A 19,792-nucleotide genomic window follows, 5' to 3' on the forward strand; every position below is an offset into this window, starting at 1 on the left:
GTTGCTAGGAGCGGGCCGGGCCGGGAGGACGAGCGCGCCGCTGCTTCCTCCGCTGCCGCTGCCGCTGCGCGCCAGGCACGCGGCTTACTCGCGCGCAGGGTGGCCAGGCCCGGCCTCGGGACGGTTCCGTGGAAGCGGCCGCTTTGCGGGTAGTGGGACTGTGGCCTTGCGCTATGCCCTGTGCTTCCGTGGGACGTGTCTAGGAACGGGTGGGCTTTCTGCGGGAGGCGGGGGTCGGGCAGGGCTGCTGGTCTGGAGTGCTTGTGCTCTCTTGGTAGCTTTTGTGTGGCAATGGATAGGGAGCTGGTCCAGGAAAAGCGTCTGTGGAAGAAGAGGAGGGTGGACGCACCTTCTCCAAGGCACCTGTAGAAGTCACTGGAACTCCCGTGAGGCCTCCTGTTGACCTTAGGCCCTGCGGGAGGGAGGGCACCTTCCACCTTTCCCCCAGCTGAAGGTCTGGTACCAGACGCAGGAAGGTTCCAGGCCAACACAGCGCTCCTTCACACAGTCCATGCCCTGTGCCAAACTCTCTTCCAGCCCTGGCGCGACAAGATGTGGTTGGGGCCCCAGATCTCCTGGAGGGCGAGAGGGACAGACCAGAGGGACGGCTAGTAAAAAAAAAGAAATTGGCCTTCAGGAAGGGAGAGGCAGCCAGGGTGGCGGGGCTTTCAAAGGGTAGCTTTGACTTCAGCTCTGCCGAGGACTACTAGTTGGTTACCCTGGATGAACATCTCGAAGCTCTGTTAACTCATCAATAAATCAGGGGTGCCAAAACTCATCTTGGCGCTCGCGGAGGAGCTTGAACCTGGGCCTGTGGTGAGCACTGCTAAACAGGCTACTGCCCCAGTGGCCAGGATGCTGCTTTGCAAGCAGTGAGGGGCCAGGCACCCGGGATTGGGTCCCTTCAAGCCCTCAGCAGTGCCTTACCAGCAAATCATCAGTGCCTTAATTAGAATGAGAAACTGCAGAAAATGATGCCAGGCGGGCCCACGCTGCTCGAATAATTTTTACTAGACAGAATTTGGTAGCCAGGGAGCCCTTGATTTGAAGATGGATCCCCTGAGGCCCTTTCCTTCATCTAGCAACAGAGATCTAGGAACAAAGGCAGAGGTCCAAAGTCTGGCTGTCTGAGGTGGACTCATTCTGGTAGGGAAGGAGGGCTTTCCTCCATCTCTGCTTCCTCCTGCTTTGAAGTGCCAATTTTCAGCTTCAGCTCAGGCTTGAGGCAGGTGCTGTACAACTTGTTTTAATAAGCATATTGTTTGTCTGACCCCGCTCTCCAGCCTCCTCACCTGCCCCTATCCCAGCTCACTGCTCAGTGGCACTGGCCACCTCACGGCCTCTGCATTGGCTGTTCCCTCAGGCTGGAATGCTTTTCCCTGATTTCCACACGGGTCACACCCTCACCTCCCAGCTCCCTGCTCACATGTCACCTCTTGGTGAGGGAATATCACCATCCACACTCCTGATCCCCATTCTCTATTTCCCCCCCAGACCTCATCACCATCTGACACTTTCTCCCTTCTTTTTTTTAAGACAGGGTCTCACTCTGTTGCCTGGAGTGCAGTGGTGCAATCATAGCTCACTGCGGCCTTGAATTCCTGGGCAAAGTGATTTTCCCACCTCAGCCTCCCAAGTAGCTGGGACCAAGGTGTGGGTAGTCTCAGCTACCTGGGAGGCTGAGGCATAAAGATTACTTTTTTTTTTTTTTGTAGACAGGGTCTTGCTGTTTGCGCAGGCTGGTCTTGCACTTCTGGCCTCAAGCGATTCTCCAACCTCAGCCTCCTAAAATGCCAGGATTATAGGCATGAGCCACCAAGCCTGACCCTCTTCTTTTGCTTTATTTCCTGTTTCCTCCACATGAAGCAGGCTCCATGAAGGAAGGAACTGTCAGTTTAGTGCCCGCCACGTTCTCAGTTGCTCAATTCATCAACAAACCAGCAGGGCCCAATTTAAATTAGAGGTCATTGTTAATGAAAGAAGTAATAGCAAAGAAGGTCTCCAGTGCTGAAATGATTTTCACAGGATGGTTCTGTATCTTCCCAGTAGCCAGGGAGCCCTTTGTCTGCCCACTGTTGCCTGGCACGCAGAGCCTGTCCGAACACTCATGGCAATGAAGATGGCCCGATTTGGATCCTGGGTGGCCTTTCAGACAGTGTGAGTTCAGACTGGTCTTAGGTTGCTGGGAGGGGCAAAACTACTCTTTTTTAAAGGTAATAGAACCTTCTGGAGCTTGCTATCCTCTGTGAAATAATTATTTGAGACAGAGTCTCGCTCTGTCACCCAGGCTGGAGTGCAGTGGTGCGATCTTGGCCCACTGCAACCTCCACCTCCCAGGTTCAAGCGATTCTTCTGCCTCAGCCTCCCGAGTAGCTGGGACTACAGGCGTGTGCCACCACACCCGGCTAATTTTTTGTATTTTTAGTAGAGATGGGGTTTCACCATGTTAGCCAGGATGGTTTTGATCTCCTGACCTCATGATCTACCTGCCTCGGCCTCCCAAAGTGCTTGGATTACAGGTGTGAACCACCACACCCGGCCAGTGAAATAATTTCTAATGTGCAGTCACAGCCATAATTGTCCATGTCTTCTCTTTCACCAAGGGGGTGTGTGTCTTTGGGCCCAGTTCTGCCTTCCCTAGCCCATGTCTCCTTGTGTCACGTAGGCCCTGGCCCAGGTGATCTTCTTTGGCTCAGCTGCTTGGCCTCCAGCCTCTAGTCCTCGCTTCAGCATGTGGGAAGGTTCTGCTGGCTCCTTCAGGGCTCCTGGCATTGCCTTTAGTCCATGTGGGTCCCTGGGCGGACCTGGGTCAGAGCTGGCTGAGGGCATAGGTTTGGGCTATACTGAGGGCAGCTTCCAGGTCAGTAGTGCTTCCGGTGCCTTGGGCCACCACTCGTGAGCCCCACGCCTTGCCCCCCATGTGGCTGCACACTGCCAGTGCCCAGGCCTCTGCTGTGAAGGTGGGCATGGCACCCTAGGAACAGAATCAGAAGAGGAAGCGATGCAGAGTGGCCCTCCCTGCCAGCATCCACTCAAGGTACCCTCAAGAGTGGAGCTGAAGGTCATCAGTGCCCCCTTCCCAGCTGGGCACATGGTGGGGCAGTCAGGTGATGAGCCGGAGAAGGTTTGGGCTGGAAATGTGTGTGGGGAGGTGTATGAACGTGAACATCTGCTACTTGTTTACAAGGGATGTGAGGCCTGGGAGGGGTTAGGAATTAAGGAATCTCTTGGTGCCTTCTGGGGTGGGGAGGGGCTGTTTTCAGGAACAAGGAGATTCCCCATCCCTGTCCTGGAGTATCCTCATAGATACTTCCACCCAGCCTTGGCCCCTTTGGGAGGAATTAAAGGTGTAAAATCAGAGAGCTGGACCAGGATGGGTATTAATGGGGGCGGTGGGCTGCTCTCCCACTTCCCTCACCTGGGCCACCTGACAGGCACACAGCACCTTCCCCATGGGCTGGGGGCTGAGTAGGAGCACAGACGTGCTGGGGGCCTGCTCACACAGCTGCCGTACCACCTTCACCAGCACCTGGACCACGAAAGACAGATGGTGAGCCCATCGCTTCCCAGACCCCTAGCTGTCTCCTGGTCAGGACTTTGCCCTCCCCAGACCCTGGGGCAGCCCGGCTTGGCTAGCACTCACTGAGAGAGACTCAGCAGAGACTGTGTCCACAATCAGAGGCCCCTTCGAGTGCCGCTCCAGCAGCTCCTGAGTTTTCTTTGCAGCCTATGGGGCAGGAAGGACAAGCAGAGGGGTCAGGCTGAGAGGCAGGTTTCCAATTAGCCCCAACTTCTGAACTAAGCCCCAGCTGAGCAATCCCCTGCTTCCCCCACCCACCCCAAAAGTCATTAGCTCTAGGCAGAGGTGGCAGGGACTCTGCCTAGGGTGGCCTCCTTTTTGGGTCCCACATGTGTCCTTCCTCACTTCCCTCACCACTTCCCTTTCATCATAGCTTCAGGCCCCTACAAATAGGTCGCTGAAGGTGAAAGGAGGAAGGTCAGAGCACAGATGGACCAGGAGTGGGCGGGAGAAAGGGGGATCCACAGTGGAGGTGCAATCAGGGCTGAATGGCACTAATCAAGTCAGTAGGCTTCCGGGGGTTCTGAGCCAGACTTGGGAGTTGGGGGAGAAACACAGTTTGAAAGAGACAGAAGTGGGGGAATGGCCTGGGTGATGGTTCTCAGCTGGCAGGAGAAGGAAGCTGCCACCACCCCGTCCTTGCACAGCCTCTGACTCACCCCCATGCCCCAGCCCTTGAGACTTCTCAGTGTATCTGCTGGAGTGTCTCTGGGCACATGGGTGCAGCCAAACCTCCTCTCACCTGTCCCATTTGCAGCTTACGGATGGCAGTGTTGGCACGCCGCTGCAGCATCTTCACTGTGGCCAGCAGCTCCCGCCGCTGCCACTGGGGCATCACAGCAGTTTCCACAGCCTATGGCCAGAAGCAGTACATCACCCCTGCCCTTCCCTGAGCCATAGTCTCTGAGGTAGGGACCAGCAGGGCCAGGGAAGACACCCACCCTGCAGACAAATATCTGGGCCAGCTGGAGCCCAACCCAATTGGAGTGCTAGGGAGAGTCTGAAGGAGTCCAGGGAGGAATAGGGGAGGTAATAGGGCTAGGAGAGGGTGGGGTGGTAGGCGTGGCCCTCACTTCAATGAGTCGTCCTATGTCCTTGGACAGCCTCAGTGCCTCCGCCACATCCCGGCTCCCCAGACTCAGCCGCTCAGTGGCCGCTTTCACTTCCTGGGCCAGGCTCTGGCCTAGCTCTCGGGCCTGCAGGGAGGGGACAGGAGGGTCAGGATTACATTCATCTCCCCAGGACAAGGCCTCTCAACTCATTACTGGTCAGGGACAAATAAGATTTAACAATCAGGACCAATCAAGGCACCAGCACCAAATAATCAAAACACATGCCAGCTGCCAATAGCTGATATGGCCACATTGGTGTCCAAGTATGAACACTGGCTCTGCTGCTGGGCACCCCTGAGCCTGAGCATGTCACCTGCGTGTGTCCCATGCACCCACTCAACCCAGAAGTCCCAGGCCTACTGGCATGCTGACCTGCTGGGCCTGCTCCCCAGTGACGGCCAGCAGGCGGGTAGTGCCCTTGGAAAGCTGGCGGTCCCCGATGATAACCAGGTCCCCTACAGCCCCAGTACGTAACAGGTGCCTGTGGGAGGAAGGAGTGAACAGAAAGTCGGGGCATGACAGTAGAGAAGGGAGAAGCCAGCGTGCATCTCCCATTAAGGGCTGATGGCTCCAAAGACCAAGGGAAGGGCAAGGATCCGGGGCCCCTGGGCCAGGCAGCACAAAGGAGTGACTCACGTCCCACAGCATAGCTCCACAGAGGTCTGCAGTGCGGCTTGGGAGGCTGGGTCCAATGCATGGGCCACGGGCACCCCCACTGATACCACCCGCACAGGGTCTGGGTAAACCTGAGGTCAAGAGGGGACAGGCCCGTTAACTGCCAAAGGAGAAGGATAAAGCCTCCAGGTATGCCTGAAGGAGGCCCCCGATCTCCAGCAAAAGGGCTTCCCCAACTCACCTCATCCAGAGAGCGCAGGCCAGGGACCTGGGCAGTGAGCGCCAGGGGCACCTCCTCCATGTACACAGCCTCATCCTGCCCCACGGCCTCCTGCACAGTGTTCTCCACTGCCCGGAGCTGCTCTGGGGTCAATGGGGTCTGGAGGGGTGGGGAGGAAATGGAAAGACCAACATGCAGTCAGCCCCACACCTCTAACTGATGCATTGAAACACGGTCAATGTTCACTGAGCTATCCCCAGGTTCTAGAATAGTGGCTAGCACATAATAGGTGCTCAATAAACACTACCTGAGCAGACAATTATTTTCCTTAGAAAGCTATCTGGGAGTTGGGCCTATTGGAAGCTCCAGGCCTTTCACCAGGCACCAAAAGTTAAAGAAACAGAAAAAGGAGGCTGTATCCACATGGAGCTTACAAGGGGTAGCCCAATGGAAGAGAGAACTACAGGATGGGGGGATGCAGGGGCAGGGAATAAGCAGGTGGGATGGGGATTAGCCAGCAAGTACTTCCTGGAGAAAGGATTTAAGCCAGATGTGTAAGAAGCGCAGGGAGACAGGGTGGCAGCAGAGGGAGAGGGCAGCCCAGTTTAGGCAAGAATGGCTTGGATGACAGTAGAAACAAGGAAGGGGAGCGGCTGGAGGTGAAGGGAAGGCCCCTGCTGGAGGGCCTTCAGGATCCCACATCAGAGCTGGGCGAGGCCCCAGACACTCTGTAGCCTGACTCCTCACTGCTGCACAAGGAGCCCAAGGGGAAAGGACTTGCCCAGGGTCCCATAGTGATTGGGTGGCCGTGCTGGGCCTAGAGCCCAGGACTCTAAGGGCAACCCGCTCACAGCAGGCTGTCTCTCTTTTATGCCTGTCACCTCACATGAAGCCTGTCTTTCTATGCCGGGCTCACCTGGGTGGTCACATCCAAGCGCAGCTGCTCAGGATTGAGATGGGAGCCCTGCTGCTCTGTGCCAGGGCCCAGGGTCTGCCTCAGTGCCCAGTTCAGCAGGTGGGTGGCCGTATGCTTCGCCATGCAGCCTAGACGCCAGGCCTGAAATACTTTTGTCACCCAGCGTCCTGGGTGAGGGCAGGGGGTTGGGAGAGTGAAGGGGCTGCAGGGTATTGGGAACAGTTAGGGAGGATCCTTACCTCATCCACATGCAGCTGCACCTGGTCCCCTAACCGCAGGCACTCAGGGGCTACTGCCTCATGCAGGATGAAACCTCCACAGACCTGGGCCCGGGCTACTGGGAACAGCACGTCCTGAGGGAGGGTAGTGGTCAAGGTGCCTGTAGCCTTTCCCTCCCCTTGGCTCCCACTCAGGCTTGGGTCTGCCGCCCACAGAAATCAGCCTGGGTTGTGATGGAGACTCACCTCTTGCCCTGCCCGCACCAGGTAGCCACGGTCTGAAGCCTGGCCCCCCTGTTCTGCGTAGAAGTTGGTCCTGTCCAAGAGGAGGCCACAGCGCTGGCCTTTCCCCACGGAGGCCACTGCTGTCCCGTCCTCTGTATACAGTTGCAACACCTGGGCCTCACAGGTGCCGAACTCTGCCAGGGCACAGAATGGTTATTAGTGGTGGGCAGGGGCTGGGGACGTGAAGGTGGGTCTGTGCCTGGAGGCCAACAAGCACCCCCGCTGGCAGGGGCACTTCCAGCTGGGGGCCACAGAGACCCCTGGTGGCCATCCTGGGGAATACATAGGGGCTAGCAGCAACCATCTTGGACATTCTTCTTAGTCATGGTCAGGCAAGCTTGTGGCGGCAGGCCTTGGTCCAGGCTCTCACCATAACTTCCGCTGGGTCGCAGGGAGTAGTTGTACTTGGGGCTGTCGTCAGTTGGGGGCACTCCTTGGCGCTGCAGCTCCCCAAGCGCATGGACATCAAGCCACAATCCCTGCTTCTGAACTGGCTCAGCCTGCCGTGCCCGGTGCTGCAGGGTGGGCATGGGCATGGAAGAAGTGCATGGAGAATGAAAGAATGAAAGTGGGACTTCAGCCTCGCAGGGCCCTGTCCCTGCCACACAGCTGTGGACTCTGCAGCCCTTCTGGAATAAGAACTCAGGGCTTGGCTGGCTGCTAGAGCCCCTGAGCTGGTTGAACCATCCATCATGTCGGCTCCTCGGGATTAGGCCTTCCTGCCCACTGCTGCCCCTGGAGGGCCCCTCTCCAGGAAGCTGTGCTGGCTTCTGCTCCTGTGTTTAGCCCATTGGCTAGTTTTGCTTTCTACTGGTTGTGGCCTGAGGTTTTAGAAACCTCCCAGGTGAGGGGACAGATCCTATCTCAGCCTCTTGATTCCTCTCAATATTCACAGCTCCTCCCCCAGGAGCTCAGGGCTGGGGAAGAGGTGTCCTAACAGAACCCAGCATGGGGTGCCACAGCTTGTACCTGGGCCTCCTCTTGGGCCAACCGCTCCAGTCCAGCGGAGTCTAGCTGGACCCCTTTCTCCTCCAGCATCAGCTCTACCATGTCCAAGGGGAGTCCCAGGTCTCCACACAGTGACAAGGACCAGGCCACTTCAGCTTTGAGAAAGAAAGACAAAGAATGTTGAGGAGGGGAGGGATTAGACAAAGAAGGGGAGAAAAATAAGGTCCAGGGCCCTTCTAACCACGCAGAAGCCACCAGATGCCAAACACAAATACCCGCTCCATACTGGGTAGCCTCAGGAGAGGGGTCACATTCAGGCTTCATGCCTCAAGGCCAGAGCTGGGGGTAGTCCAGGGTACTCCCTGGGCACACATCATTTCAAGGGAGGAGGGAAGCTCAGTCTATGCACGAAGCCAACCTAGGAAAGCAGGAGGCAGGGCTAGCTGGGCACTGTGGACATGGGGAGAGGCAGGGTGGTATTCCTGCTGCAGAGGGGTCTGGGTATGGAAGGAGAGTCCAGGGAGAAAGGAACATTGGGAAGAGGTCAGGGGTGGATATGAGGCATGGGGCTGGCCCAGAGCTCCCTCCTCTGCCCACCTTGGTGAGTCTCAGCGAGCCCCTTGTGCATGGGCTAGGTATCCTGCTTACCAGGGAACATATCTGAAGGCCCCAGGGTCCTCAGAGTCCGATCAATGATCCGCCTACCCCGCTCCAGGGAGGCCAGGAAGGCTGCCTCGTCCTCTGACACCAGGTTGGCGATCTGAACCAGGCAGAGAAGAAGTGGAGCTGGGTCTCCTTGGAAGGAGGGTCTCTCTCCACAACTCTCCCATCAACCCCTTTCTCTCCCACTGGAATCCAGTACCTGGGCTGAGTTCCTTTGCAGTTCTGGATAAGCATCTCCCTGGGGGAGGTGGAGAGGGCTGAGGAGGTGTGAAAGGCAACCAACCCACCCCCACCTCCCCACCCTGGGCCTCCCTGAGGACACCTGCCCTGGAGGCTCAGACACATTGAGGGGCTGGGAGAGGGACTCAAATGGGGAACTGGTTTCCCTGTAGGGTGGCAGAAGGGGGTCCTGAGGTCAAGGGCTGAGCAGTTTGGAAAAGGAGCCTCCTCAAGTTCTCCTGCTTCTTGTAAGCAAGGACAGCTTTCTTAGCTTGCTGATAGGATGCTGGGCTCGATATTTAGGGTGGGGACCTCTGGGCACCCAGGCTGGGGGCACTGTCTAGGCTCAGTGGTAGGCTCCCCAAAGTGCCCAGGGAGGCCCAGAGTGAAAAAGAAGCTCTGTCCTTACCAGTGTCTCCACCACTACAGGTACCAGGCTGCCTAGGAAGCCAGGTGGTGCCTTTAAGATCTCCATGGAGAAACGCACAGCTCGACGCAGGATCCGACGAAGAACCAGCCTAAAGGGGTTCAGAGCCCAGACATGAATCCCCAGCGGCTCATGGTCAGCAATATGGGGAGTGGGAAGGACGAGGTCCAGTGTGTGCTCCCACCTCAAAGCTCTCCCTCTCCCCATTCCTCCTACTGGCTCAACCAGACCCACCTCTCCTGTTCCCTCCCTCCTCCACCTGAGACCCCCAGCAGCCCCTGTCCTCTCTGTAGCCCTTCCAGACTCACGGGGGACCTGACATCCCAGGGAAGATGCCATCAGAGATGCAGACACTGAGTGTGCGGATGTGGTCAGCCACCACGCGGTACGCTGTGTCTGTGCGCCCCTCGTCTGCCACCCCTACTCGGCCCAAGTAAGGGGGTGCCCTGCAGCCCTGGGAAGCAGAAGAGTCAGCCAGTGGCCCTGCCTGACCTGGCCCAGGTGGGTGCTCTTTATCGCCTCTAGAGCATCTGCCCTCAGCCCTAAAGCCAACCACATCCAGAATGGCCTTGCCAGTCCAGTCCTGGGCTGAGAAGCCTCACAGATGAGCACAAGCCAGGCCCTGCCCTCACGGGGCTCATATTTGGTGCTACAAGTGAACATATCTGTGACCATTTACTGAATTTCTACTATCAGAACTGGGTGAGTACTTGAACAACATGGCCTCGAATCCCCAAAACAGCCCATTCCAGGAGGTATTAGCATGCTTGCTTTAAAGAAGAAGAAGCTGAGGCTCAGAGGAACTCAGTGACACAAGGCTACCCAGCTCTCAAGGAGCAGATCTGAGATCTCAGCCGGGCCTGTTGGACTCCAGGTGCTCTCCACTACCTGTTCTTGCCTCTCCCATCTTTTGTGGGGGTGGGCAGGGAGGGAGAGTGTAAGCTACATACACGGAAATGCTCCAAAGCAGGGAGCTTGATTCACTTACCACCAAACCTCTCTCTTCCCCAAGCTTCTTCGTCTAACAGTCATGCCATTCACTGTGTTGCTCAAGTCAATAGCCTGGGAGCCATCTTTGAATTCTTTTTCCCCTACCCGTCATGATCCATCAGTGGTTCCTTTTGCTCCTACCTCCATGACATCTCTCAAATCAATCTACTTGTCTCTACTTCCACTGCTATTATCCGAAGCATGCCCTGTGGTCCTTGCCTGGACCGATAATAGCCTCCCAACTGATTCCTAAGTTTCTGCTCTCATCTCCCTCCAGCTCATCCTCCACACAGCAACAGGAGTAGCCTTTTAAAAGTGTACATCAGGCTGGGCGCGGTGGCTCACACCTGTAATCTCAACACTTTGGGAGGCTGAGGCGGGTGGATCACCTGAGGTCAGGAGTTTGAGACCAGCCTGGCCAATCCTGGTGAAACCCCATCTGTACTAAAAATACAAAAATTAGTCAGGTGTGTTGGCGGGTGCCTGTAATCCCAGCTACTCTGGAGGCTGAGGCACGAGAATTGCTTGAGCCCCGGAGGCAGAGGTTGCAGTGAGCCGAGATCATGCCACTGCACTCCAGCCTGGACAACAGAGCAAGCAAGACTCTGTCTCAAAAAAAAAAAAGAAGGGTTCTCAGTGGGGAGTGTGGCATGATCTGATGTACACTTTTATTTATTTATTTTTTTTGAGATGAACTCTCACTCTGTTGCCCAGGTTAGAGTGCAGTAGCACGATCTCAGCTTACTGCAACCTCCACCTCCTGGGTTCAAGAGATTCTCCTGCCTCAGCCTCCCAAGTGGCTGGGACTACAGGTGTGTGCCACCATGCCTGGCTGATTTTTCTATTTTTTTAGTAGAGACAGGATTTTGCCATGTTGGCCAGGCTGGTCTCCAACTCCTGACCTCAAGCGATCCGCCCCCCTCTGCCTCCCCAAGTGCTGGGATTACAGGAGTGAGCCACCGTGCCCAGCCCTGAGAACTCTTCTCACCACTCTGAGAATCAAGGCCCCACTTTGGACTTTGAGGCCCACAAGACTGGATTCTGCCTTCTTCTCTGTGAGACTGTTCACAAAAATGGCCCTTTCCTAGGCATATGCCACTTTAAAATGGGACTTTACAGCTGTTTCCCATCAAGGGACAGAATCCATTTCTCCATCCCCTGAATCTCTGCTGGCTTTGTGACTTGCTTTGGCCCATAGAATACAGTGGAAACAACACTGTTCTGAGCCTATGTGTCTGCTCTCTGTCTTGGAACCTTGCTGAGCTGTGATGTGGACAAGCCCAGACTAGCCAGCTAGGTGATGACAGACACATGGTCCAGTCACCCCTACTGCCCCCAAACTGACAGCCAGCCAAGCCCCAGAGGAGCTGCGGCCTCTCAGCTCACCACAGATGGATGAATGAGCTCACACAAGACCAAAGAATGAGCCAGCTAAGCCCAGCCTAAACGCTAGCTCACAGACTCAGGGGGCAGATACATGGTTGTTGGTTAAGCCACAGAGCATTAGGGTGGTTATACAGCAAAAGCCAACTGACACATGTTCCTACTATATCCCATGGGATTCTCCTTTAGCTGGCTGGCCACCTTTTAGTTTTTGGCACATGTCAAGCCCTTTCTTGCGGGGCAAGGAGGGAGGGTATAAGCTACACACATGTGGAAATGCTCCAAAGCAGGGAGCTTGATTCACCTAGCTCCAAACCTCTCTCTTCCCCAAGCTTCTTCATCTCAGTAAACAGTCATGCCATTCACTGTGTTGCTCAAGCCAATAGCCTGGGAGCCATCTTTGATTTCTCTTTCCCCTCCCCATCTAATCCATCAGTACCAAGGCCCTTGGTACCTGCTGTCCCCTCTGCCTGGAAAGAACTTCCTGTAGCTGACTCCTCCTTTGGGGCTCAGCTCAAAGGTCATCTTCTTGGTGAGCCTTCCCCAAGCACCTTATCTAAGATTCCTCTGTACCCCTCCTTCTTCCTAGTTACTTTCACCCATGTTTACTGCCTGTTCACAATCTGTAAGCTATTACCTTGTTCTTTAACACATTTATTGATTGTCTATCTCTCATGCTAGCATATAATCTCCATGATCTCTTTCCTGCTTACTGCTGTGTCTTCTGTACCAAACACAAAGGATTTAACATAAAGTAAGCACTCAACACGTATTTTCTAAATAAATGAAAGAGGCAAGGAGTTAGGAGGAACATCAGGTAATAAGTAATGAATCCTAGTGTCTTGCTTGACGTCTTGGAATTCTTGGTTGGTTATTGTCCTCAGATGCTGAGAACACTCTGAGTTCTCAACAAAGATGGAATGCAATGGGGCTGAGGGCTGTGAAGAGCAGGTTAGAGGGCTTCTGGAAGGGAAGAGGCACTCACCTGCTGTATGGCGTTGAGCAGCGGGGAAAAGAGGTCAGTGTCATAGGTGGAGTGTTTGCCTTGCAGCACAGCCACCAGCCTTTCCAGGCCCATTCCTGTGTCCACATGCCGCTGGGGCAGGGGCTGCAGGCTTCCATCTGCCTCTCTGGCCAGGGAAGGTGTGCAAGGTGAGGCCCCACCCAGGATTACAGGTGTGAGACAGATGCCCAAGTGGAGTAGAGAAATGGGGGGGGGCCCAAGGGAGCTGACAGTGGGAGGAACCAGACAATCAGTATCTTCCCCTGCCACCCTGCAATAGCAGATGATGATGGCCTTGGGGTCCTGTCCTTCCTCATATAGGGCTATTTCCATTCTCACCCCTGCTTGGGCCCTTGCCTGGGCACCAGACATCCCATCTTGGGACAGAATTCTTTGCCCCTAGAAAGATATGTCAAGGCTAGAAGAAAATCTGAGATCATCAAGTTCAACTCGTTGATCATCAAGTTCAACAGAGAATAGCAGTGACTTGTTTAAGCTGTCACAGGCAAAGACTACAATTAAATCAGTTATTATCTATAAGGTGTTGAGAATTGTGCCTGACACACGGTAAGCACCGTTTACATGTTTGTTTTTATATGAAACAGATCAAAGTCTTCTAATTGCCACCTTTCCCACTTCTAGTCAGGGATTCTCATCCTGCTTCAGCACCCTATTACCTGTTGTGTTGCATGAAGACCAGGTTCCAAAGCTCTACCAGCTGGGGGGCTCCCACCCCACCAGCAAGGTCGTAGTGGATCTCAGTACAGGGCCCACAAGGGCCAGTATCCCCCATCTCCCAGAAGTTCTCTTGTGGTCCAAAGGAAAGCACACGGCTAGCAGGCACCCTGGGGAGAAAAGCAGGTGAGTGGTGGGAGACAGACAGACCCAGAAGCTGGGACTCTCTCTGCCATGAGAGCCCCTCCCTCAAGTCACAGCTCAGCAAGAGGAGGAACAGGGCTGACCCCACAATATCCTGGAATGAAATGCTAAGACTCTGAGGATTGGTGCTGGTAGTCTCCACTTTCCAGTCCTCCTGACCTCCAGGAATGAACATAAGAAGGGGGCTGACTTACCCTAAGCTCAGCCAGATGTCCCTGGTCTCCAGGTCTGGGTCCAGCCCTGCCTTGGGGTCACCATCAAAGTAGGAGATCCAGAGCCTTTCCTCAGGGATCCCATAGACCTGAGTCAGCAGTTCCCAGGCCATGTTACAAGCCTCCTCCTGCAGCAGAAACCAGCATGGGGTGGGGGGGGAAGACGGGTGAGAGGGAGACCCCACTGAAGTAATCAAGCCACATGAGTTTAGCTCCCGACTTAAGACAAAAGCATTTCTGCTGCCATCTTGTTCCCAGAATAAGCCATGAACCATTACTGCCTCTGAGTGTTTTCCTGCCCAGAAAGCTTCCCCCTTCTTCTAAGTCCTATCTTCTTTCAAGTCCCAGACCAAGTCCCACTTTCACATGAAATTCTCTGCCTACTCTAGCCTAGAGTGATCTTTAACTCCAGTAAGCACCTTAGCATTGCTGTTTGACCATTTATTCAAACAACAATTTTTGAGTGATCATTAGGCAGAAAGTACAGTCTCTGCCCTTCAGGGACTTACAATCCAATCAGGGAGGTGAGGTAATTCCTGTTACACCGGCTCAACTAGCACTTTGCCTCCACATCTGGTATGAGGCCCTGCCTAAGCAGACAGTACAATGGAAACAGGACAAATTGACTCCCTTCTTGGCTGATCACTGATCCCCAGAGACTCACCTTAAAATATTCACCCCCAAAGGCCCAATTGCCAAGCATTTCAAAGAAGGTATGATGGGAAAGGTCTCGACCCACATCTTCCAGGTCGTTATGGTGTCCTCCAGCTCTCACACATTTCTGGCTGTTGGCCACACGTCGGAAGCCTGCCATCTCGCTTCGTGGATCCACGGTGCCCAGAAAGATTGGCTTGAACTGGAAGCACATAGAGTGGGGAGGGGGAGAGGGATATCCAATTTCTCAGTAGAAGGGAAATGTGGGGAGTGAGGATAGGGATGGCTGTTCAGACCGAAGGCTGACTGTGCCCCTGAGAGTGCAGTGTAATCTTGGTCTATGAGGACAAACTGGGAGCCTCGGGACAGCCATCTCTGGTGTGTGGGGAGCAGAGAAGAGGTAAACAAATCATGAACCGGAGACCCTCTGCCTAGTAAAATAGGCAAGGTAAAAGAAGGAGGAATGTGTTGGGAGCTGGAAATGGGACGCTGAAAGGTGGCATCCTCCGTCTCAGCTTCTTCAACCACACCCAATAACTTCAGGGAACAAAACTGAGACTCATTTAGTAGGGAGCCCAGACGGCCTCTAAGGTTAACTTATGCCGCCCCTATTTTACAGATGAGGACAATGAAGTCTAGAAAAGATGAGTGGTTGATAAAAACCAAAACCTTAGAGAATAGTACTCAGCAAACAATAGGTGATCAATAAACATTTAATGAAAGCGTTATCTTTATTTAAATAACGAATAAATGAAATCAGACTTCTCCCTCGGGATTCCACTCCAGCCATTTCTGGACCTAATACTCAATCCCAATCCAGAAGTTCCCAGCTCAAGCCCTCCCCAAGCCCTCCCTATACTCTGAGCGCCGTACCCCCATCACTTTACCCAACCAAGCACCGCCCTCTTTCCCCAAAAGCTACGAACTCCGCCTCTCGCTTCTTTTGCCCAATCCTGCAGCGTCTTTCTCACCAGAAAACTCACGAACTCCGCTCCCTATCAGTATGGTTCGGCCCTCACCTGGTTCATGCCCGCATTGACAAAAAGCAAACTGGGGTCGCCGCGGGGCCGCACGGAAGCGGAGGGCACCAGCCGGTGGCCATGGCGGTCCCGAAAGAAGTTCAGAAAGGCGGCCCTCACGGCCGAGGCCTTGGCTGCAGGGGGCTCCGATGAGAGCGGCCGATGGCTGAGGCCCCGCCATGCGGGCGACCTTCGAATGGCCCGCCGCAGCCTCCGGGCTGCAGCTGCCACTGACGCTGCCATCGTAGCTCCGGGCAGTGACTTTACGTGGTCAAAGAGTGACGAGGGAAGGAAGCCAGGCGTTTCCTACAGCGGCCCCTGGCGGTAGGAGGACTCAGGGGGCGGCCTCTGCCGCCGGGGTGGAAGCGATCGATTGGGTCGCTGGCAGAGTCTAGCACAGCGCCCGGCACATAGTAGGCTCTTAATTCATTCGGCATTAAGCAAATATTCATTGAGAGCCTACTATGTGCTAGGCATTGTTTTGGGCTTTTAGGGTACAAAATTGACAAAATGCCCTGCCCACTGAAATCCGTATTCTAGCAGTAATTGCTGTTGTGCTTATTAGTTTTGCAAAGTTACAGATGGGGTTGCAATAAACAGGTGTGGATTCAACTTCGTGTGTGTGTGTGTGTGTGTGTGTGTGTGTTTTGTGTGTGTTTTTCCAGGCTGAGGGAAGAAGGCAGAGAGTGACAGGGGAGTATCAGCATTCATTCAAGAGGTATTCAACAAATATTTATTGAAGACCTAGTATGTGCTAGGCACTGTTCTAGGCATTTGCCAGTTTCCTTGGACCTTGGCATCAGACACGGCCATTTTTGCCCGTGAAGCAGGAGTCTATAGGAGAACACAGAAGCCAAACAGCATCTGCTATATTATTAATTGCCTAACATTTGGTCTTCTCATTTGCCTGGGGATCAGAGAGAATCCAGGTCGTCAAGGCAGGAGGAAGCTGTTGGCTAATAGCTGCAGAGATTTCACTCTCTAAGCCTTCTAATGCCCTAAGGTTTTGTGTGTTTTCGTTTAGGATAAGAGATATACCTGTTCTACCTCTCCCTTCTGTCTTTCCATAGTAACAGCTGTGACCCTGAAGCCAACAGGCCCTTGTGGATGCAATCAGGGTGCTCATGGGGCTTCTCATGATGCCCTTGGCTTGGGAAATTAAACAGATTGGGAAGACAGAAGAGAATCTGCCAAAGCTAAAACTCAATAGAGGTTCCAGAGCTGAGGTCAGTGTAATAACCGAGAAGGCCTTAGCCATCAGGGTGGTCTCTTTTAGCCACGATTCTGTGTGTGTTAAGTTATTTGGGGTCTTTGTATACATAGTTTCTCTGCGGAATCTACATTGGACTTGAATTTCTATAGTGATAGTAAATTCTTAACTTTGTGTTCTGACAGCACCTATAACTCCTATTCCATGATCCCCTTTTTCTCCCTTTGCCCACATAGATTAAAGGTGTTGTTTTGAAAGTGTGTTTGGCCTGTTTTGGTTTTTCCAGTGTTTCTGGAACAGAAAGCTAAAGCCAGCTGGGGATTTCTGTGTGATTAATGACTTTTTTATTTTTTTGAGATGGGGTTTCACTCTTGTTGTGCTGGCGTGCAATAGCACAATCTCGGCTCTCTGCAACCTCTGTCTCCCGGGTTCAAGCAATTATCCTGCCTTAGCCTCCTGAGTAGCTGGGATTACAGGCATGCATCACCACGCCCGGCTAATTTTGTATTTTTAGTAGAGATGGGGTTTCTCCATGTTGGTCAGGCTGGTCTTGAACTCCCGACCTCAGCTGACCTGCCTACCTCAGCCTTCCGAAGTGCTGGGATTACAGGCATGCACCACTGCGCCCAGCTGAGATTGATGATCTTTAGACAAGACTGTGAAATTATTTCCCAAACTGAGATGGGAGTGTTTTGCCATACAAACCTGGCAGGGCCTCTACTCAGTACTGACATCAACTTTTTTTTTTTCAGATTTTGCCCAGAAAGTCATTGTGTTACATTAGAAACTCCAAACATGGATCTAGTGTGGAGCCATATAATTTTTTTAAAACAGCTTTATTGAAATATAATTTACATGCTATACAATTCGCCCATTTAAATAAAGTATACAGTTCAATGCCTTTTAGTATATTTACATAGAGTTGCCCATCCATCACCACAATCACTTTTAGAACATTTTCATTACTTCCAAATAAAACCCCAAATCCTTTAGCCATTAACCCCCAATCGTCTCATCCTTCCTAGCCCTTGGCAACCACTAATCTACCTTCTGTCTCTACAGACTTGTATATTCTGGACATTTCATGTAAATGGAATCATGTAATATGTGGTTCTTTGTAACTGGCTTCTTTCACATAAAATAATATTTTCAAGGTTCATCCATGTTGTAGCATGTACCATGGATTTTTAGAAAAATGTTTTTAGTTGTTTTCTGTTTGAAGTAGGTTTTTCTCTCATCTAATTTTGTCTTTGCCACTAAAAATGATAATTTTCTTTTCTTTAAATGTGGTGCTCTTTGGTGAATCATTAGGTTCTTTTTAATATTTCCCAGTGAAGCAAAGCGGTTCATCTAGGATTGGGACGTGTCTGTTCTGGTTTGCAGCTGTCATCTGATGAGGAAGTTAAATTGAAGGACTGCAGTTTCCCAAGATAGATGGAGGTGGAGAAAACTCATCAGACAGGGAAGTTACCAATCCTGGGAACTTCTCTGAAGGGTACTGATCCACTGTCTTAGTATTTATGGGAATTTCATTTTGAGGTTTAACATGCAAATGGGGTCTGCTTTTTGCGAGTTACTCAGCTGGGTTTTGTGAGCAACATTTGGGGTGCTCCTTTCATTGTTTAAGACAGTGGTGCTTTATCTTCCCTGGAGGTGGGATTTACCCTTACGTTGCCATTCGACCTACTTATCTTGGTAGGTTCAAGGCATCCAGCCATTCTTTGTGCTCTCCCTTTCACCTTGTTTAAAAGATGTAACACTCTTATTCTAGGAGTAGAAAGTGTCCTTTCTGATTTCCCGATTGGCTTTGAGAGCAGGACCCCAAGATCAGTGAGACATTCTGTCCTGGATTGATGGTCAGAGAAGACAAAGGGAATTTTCACTCTTACTAAGCATGGGGAACTCAACTTTGGGAATTTCCTCTTATAAATCATAAAAACAGTCTTTTAGCGTCTAGGTTAAAAAGTCAGCCTACGACAGGTGTTTCTGATTTGATGTGTTTATTTATGGCATTGGCTTATCTGGATTGTGAAAGCAACCAACACTTGCCAAACATTAATATGCATATGGATCTCCTGCGATCTTGTTACATATGCAGACTATGATCCAGTAGGTCTGGAGTAGGTGAAATTCTGCATTTCTAGCAGGCTCCCGGTGATGCTGCTGCTGCTGCTAGTCTACTAGACCATACCTTGAGTGACAAGGGTGTAGTAAAGGACTTGTGAGGGGAGTCTGGACACAGGCTTTAGGAAACGTTCTTTTGCCTGGTCCTGGGGCCTAAGACTCAGGTGCCCTTAGGTTCTCCCTTTCTCCTGGGAGGGGTGCTCACCCAGAGTAGGTGGGTGTAGCTGGGAGCTCATCGTGCGCAAGAGCGCTCGCCCCCTTCCTTCCCCCAGCTTCTTAGGGAAGTGAGGGTGGTGATTGCGTCCGCCTGTGGCTTAGAGCCGTGGAGGTTAATGTGGACCAGGGTGGAAGGGGAGCGGTTACCATGGGAATCTGGCAAAGTCATCAGGGCACGCCGATGGCTGGTGGAGCCCCCGGATCAGGAATTCAAGTATTGGTGGACCCTTGAGGGCCTCAATTCTAGAGGTTTATCCTCATGCATTAAAAAAATACTGTAGTTACATTTTATTTATTTTTATTTTATTTTTATTATTTTTGAAAGAGATAGGGTTTTGCTATGTTGCCCAGGCTAGTTTTGAACTCCTGGTGTCAAGCATTCCTCATGCCTCGGTCTCCAAGATAAACATTTTAACTGGTTATAGAAATACCTACATAAGAAAGAAGTAGACATAGGAGACTCCATTTTGTTCTGTACTAAGAAAATTTCTTCTGCCTTGGGATGCTGTTAATCTAGAACCTTGCCCCCAACCCCGTGCTCTCTGAAACAGGGTTAAATGGATTAAGGGCGGTGCAAGATGTGCTTTGTTAAACAGATGCTTGAAGGCAGCATGCTGGTTAAGAGTCATCACCACACCCTAATCTCAAGTACCCAGGGACACAAACACTGCAGAAGGCCGCAGGGACCTCTGCCTAGGAAAACCGGAGACCTTTGTTCACGTGTTTATCTGCTGACCTTCTCTCCACTATTATCCTATGACCCTGCCACATCCCCCTCTCCGAGAAACACCCAAGAATGATCAATAAATACTAAAAAAAGAAATACCTACATAACAACTTCGATTTTGCCTCTTGGCCTGGAAAGCCTAAAATATTTAATACGTGGCTTTTCAAAAAAA

The 19,792-nt window shown here is 52.5% G+C and overlaps 1 protein-coding gene and 1 long non-coding RNA gene across 4 annotated transcripts, besides 1 other annotated feature; one reads left to right on the plus strand and one right to left on the minus strand.

Annotated features, from left to right (window-relative positions):
- AARS2 (alanyl-tRNA synthetase 2, mitochondrial) lies at nucleotides 994-15,610 on the minus strand. Of its 3 annotated transcripts, NM_020745.4 has the most exons (22): nucleotides 15,344-15,610; nucleotides 14,335-14,526; nucleotides 13,653-13,798; nucleotides 13,257-13,424; nucleotides 12,562-12,706; nucleotides 9,512-9,657; nucleotides 9,186-9,294; nucleotides 8,757-8,795; nucleotides 8,543-8,654; nucleotides 7,916-8,049; nucleotides 7,317-7,461; nucleotides 6,908-7,080; nucleotides 6,683-6,796; nucleotides 6,444-6,584; nucleotides 5,549-5,686; nucleotides 5,329-5,438; nucleotides 5,065-5,173; nucleotides 4,654-4,776; nucleotides 4,323-4,433; nucleotides 3,644-3,727; nucleotides 3,419-3,529; nucleotides 994-2,974 (listed from the first exon to the last, which is right to left on the minus strand). In NM_020745.4, the coding sequence occupies exons 1-22, from the start codon at nucleotides 15,584-15,586 to the stop codon at nucleotides 2,810-2,812; spliced, it is 2,958 nt and encodes a 985-aa protein (NP_065796.2). In that variant the 5' UTR covers nucleotides 15,587-15,610; the 3' UTR covers nucleotides 994-2,809. The 3 variants fall into 3 exon arrangements, 2 of the variants coding, with proteins under 2 accessions (NP_065796.2, XP_005249302.1); XM_005249245.4 differs by lacking the exons at nucleotides 9,512-9,657; nucleotides 12,562-12,706; XR_007059282.1 differs by lacking the exons at nucleotides 994-2,974; nucleotides 3,419-3,529; nucleotides 3,644-3,727; ... (3 more) ...; nucleotides 5,329-5,438; nucleotides 5,549-5,686 and having other exon boundaries at nucleotides 6,492-6,584; nucleotides 6,683-6,777.
- LOC124901322 (uncharacterized) lies at nucleotides 9,247-16,810 on the plus strand. The gene is made up of 3 exons (XR_007059594.1): nucleotides 9,247-9,338; nucleotides 9,497-9,704; nucleotides 16,414-16,810. It is a non-coding gene; the product is annotated as an uncharacterized LOC124901322 (long non-coding RNA).
- Nucleotides 15,355-15,914: an enhancer, noted in NCBI's record as "H3K27ac hESC enhancer chr6:44280829-44281388 (GRCh37/hg19 assembly coordinates)". NCBI's record gives its function as "activates a minimal SCP1, AML or CMV promoter by ChIP-STARR-seq in naive H9 embryonic stem cells {active_cell/tissue: H9 hESC(naive)}" and the evidence as "EXISTENCE:reporter gene assay evidence [ECO:0000049][PMID:30033119]".

Source organism: Homo sapiens, chromosome 6 (genome assembly GCF_000001405.40).
Source record: "Homo sapiens chromosome 6, GRCh38.p14 Primary Assembly".
In the NCBI taxonomy this organism is placed as follows: Eukaryota; Metazoa; Chordata; class Mammalia; order Primates; family Hominidae; genus Homo; species Homo sapiens.